The sequence below is a fragment of the Homo sapiens genome, chromosome 9, assembly GCF_000001405.40.
Source record: "Homo sapiens chromosome 9, GRCh38.p14 Primary Assembly".
In the NCBI taxonomy this organism is placed as follows: domain Eukaryota; kingdom Metazoa; phylum Chordata; class Mammalia; order Primates; family Hominidae; genus Homo; species Homo sapiens.
The window spans coordinates 38,146,235-38,149,599 of NC_000009.12; the positions used below are offsets into that span (position 1 = coordinate 38,146,235).

At 43.2% G+C, this 3,365-nt stretch overlaps 1 non-coding gene across 1 annotated transcript; it reads left to right on the forward strand.

The window, feature by feature from the left end:
- Positions 1–1,193: 1,193 nt before the first annotated feature.
- On the forward strand, positions 1,194–1,327 carry LOC124900277 (U8 small nucleolar RNA). The gene has a single exon (XR_007061911.1). It is a non-coding gene; the product is annotated as a U8 small nucleolar RNA (small nucleolar RNA).
- The last annotated feature ends 2,038 nt before the right edge of the window (positions 1,328–3,365 follow it).

Consider the following 3,365-nt stretch of genomic DNA (forward strand, 5'->3'; position numbering starts at 1 on the left):
CTGTGGGCACCGTGGATGGCAGGTTAATGGCAGCAGGAGACAGACAGGCTCCTGGGCAGAAAGGGGCGTGTCCCTGATGAAACCCCCGCTTCAGGCCAGGGACAGCCTGGGGTCCAGGCTGCCAGTTCTGCCGACCACAGTGAGAACTTTTGGTGCTTTTTCTGGGTCTGCCCATGGCTGCCCATGGACCAATCAGCACATACTTCCTCCCCTCTGAGGCATGTAAAAACCCCAGACTCAGCCAGACTTGCACAGATGACCTGTCTGCAGAGAGGAGCTACCCACTGTGGGTCTTCTCTCTGCTGAGAGCTGGACACTTGTTGGGATGACCTGCCTGCAGACAGCTACCCACTGCGGGTCTCCTCTGAGCTGTTCTATCACTCAATAAAGCACTTCTTCACCTTGCTACCCTCCACTTGTCTGCATACCTCATTCTTTCTGGATGCAGGACAAGAACTTGGGACCTGCTGAGTGGCAGGGCTGAAAGAACTGTAACACAGACAGGACTGAAACATGTCCTTTGCTTGCCACATTGCGGAAGATGAGAGGGAGAGAAGAGAGAAGGAGAGAAGAGTTTCAGCCCTTTGGGGATCCCAGACCTACGAGCTCCTTGAGCCAGGGCTGTGACACCCTTTTTGGAGTTCTGCAGTTCTTGGAGTCTCCAAGCTTCCAGGCACCACCATGTTCCCCAGTGCCAGCCATAGAAACTGCTTGCAGTACGCCTGGTCCAGCTGTAGCCTCGCAGGGAACCGGCACCCATGCCAGTGCCTGGAGCTGCCTGCCCTGCCGCAGCTGGAGTGCCTGGCTGTGTGCAGCAGCCAGACCTCACGTTCACTCACTCACATACCCCTTATCACTCTGCACCTGAATTGCCCTTGGCAGGCGTGGGATCCAGGCTTTTCGTGCAAGGTGAGCAAAGCCTGCCAGGCCAAGTGGGCAGAACGAGCCCAGTGGGCCCAAGCAAAACTCAGGCAAAGGTGCCACAGAGGTTTCCAGCCAGAAAAGTGACACCCCAAGGATCCTGTGACAATAGTGTATTTTATGTGTGGCCCCAGACAATTATTCTTCCAGTGTAGCCCAGGGAGACCAAAAGATTGGTCACCCTGACATAGAGCTTAAGTGTAAGTTTCATGAATTCTGACAAATGCATATACCTGTGTAACCCACATTTCTATCAAAATATATAATGCTTATCGATGGGTGGGATAATCCTTACCTGTTCCTCGTTTTGGAGGGCAGATAGAACATGATGATTGGAGATGCATGAAATGTGATTAATGCCTCTGCCTAATCAGGACTTGCAACACCCTGAGTACTCCTCTCTGATTCTTCAGGACAATCACTACTTTGAAAGAAAAAAATGAACATATATATAAATATTTCTATTACCCTAGAAAGTTTCTCTGTGCTCTCTTCCAGTCCAATCCTCACCCTCCCACTGCTCTGCCAGAGGCAACCACTGCTCTGATTTCTATCACCATAGATCAGTCTTGCTTGTTCTAGAATTTCATGCAGGTGGAATTGTAAAGCATGGCCTTTTCTGTGTCTGGCTTCTTCCACTCAGCATGATGTGTTTGAGATTTACCCATGTTGTCACAGTTGATGTGCTCTTCCTTTTTATTGCTTAGTGATATTCCATTGTATGAACATAGCACAGTTTGTTTATTCATTCTCTGGTGGGCCAACGTTTGGGTTGTCTCTAGTATTTAGCTATTATAAATAATGCTCCAATGAACACTTTCGTACAAGACTTTTTGTGGACATATTTTTTTGGCTAAATATCTAAGAATGGTTTGCTGGATTATATGGCAAGTGTACATTTAACTTTTTTTAGAAGCTGCCATACTGTTTCCTAAAGTGATTGTACCATTTAACACTCGCCCCAGCAGTGTATGAGGTTCTAGTTTCTCCATATCTTGCCAACATATGGTGCTATAAGTTTTTTAAATCTTAATCATTCTAGTGGTCTGTAGTGGCATCTCATTGCAATAATGATTTTCATTTCCTTGATGACTTAGGATGTCAAACTCTTTTTCATGTGGTACATTTGACATAGAGACTTTAAGTTTTATGTAGTTGAATTCATTAACCTTTTCTGTTATGAATTTTATTGACTTTATACTGAGAAATCCTTCTTTTTTTGGTAGAGATGGGGTCTTTCTATGTTGCCCAGGCTGGTCTCAAGAGATCCTTCTACCTCGGCCTCCCAAAGTGCTGGGATTACGGGCAGAGAAATCCTTCTTAATACCCAAAGCTAGTAAATATTTTTACTTTTATTTGCTTCTAGCCCTTTATTGGTTAAACTCTTAAACATTACACTCTTTAATCTACCTGTATTTTGTTTTAAATTGTAAGAAAACTATTTGTCCTCAGGAACTTAACCAACTAGACTGTATATTGAATAATAACTTCTTCCTTTCTTCACCTATTTGATCTACCACATTTATCTTAAACCAACTTTTAACCTATCATTGGGTCTATTTCTATGATCCTGTTAGTGTTGATTTTTCCACCAATAGTACAGTTTCAATTATTAGGATTTTAGAGTTTATCAGGTAAGCAAGTCTACCTTCATTACTCTTTATTTCTTCAAAAATTTCTTTGCAATTTCAGCTCATTTACTTGTCTCCTCTAACTGTGGAGGGCTAAATAATGACCCCTCAAAGATGTCCAGGTCCTCATCTCTGGAACCTGTGAATATGTTACTTTACATGGCAAAAGGGACTTTGCAGATGTGATTAAGATTCTTAAGAATTCTGAGATGGGAAGATTATCTTAAATTATCTGGGAGGGGCCCTATGTAATCACAAGGGTTCTTGTAAGAGGGAGGCAGGGGTGTTAGAGAGAGGAAACCATAGAAACAGGGATTGGAGTCCTGAGGCCACAAGCCAAGGAGGACAAGCACCTTCTAAAAGCCAGAACAACAGGGAGCAGATTACCCATTGGAGCCTCCAGAAGGCACCAGTCCTGCCAACGCTTTGCTTTTAGCTCCTTAAGACTCATCTTGAACTTCTCATCCCCCACAACTATAGGAAAATAAATTTGTGTTGTTTTAAGCCACTAAATTTGCAGTAATTTTTTATAGCAGCAGTAGGAAGTTAATATACTACCTTAAAAATTATTTTTAAAAATGATGTTCTAAGTGTTTTTCCATTATCATGTTGACTAGAACTGTATTGAGCAGAAAATTTAATTTGCGAAGAATTCACATTTTTATACTATTCAGTCTTGCTACTGAGATTTCTCCAGAAAAGCATCTCCATGTCCCTCTACTTCTGCTCATCGCCTGCTATCGCTGTTGGGTTTCTCGGAGTAGTCTTCAGGTAAAGGTTTGAGTGCAAGTAGTCTATTTAGAAGGTGATTCC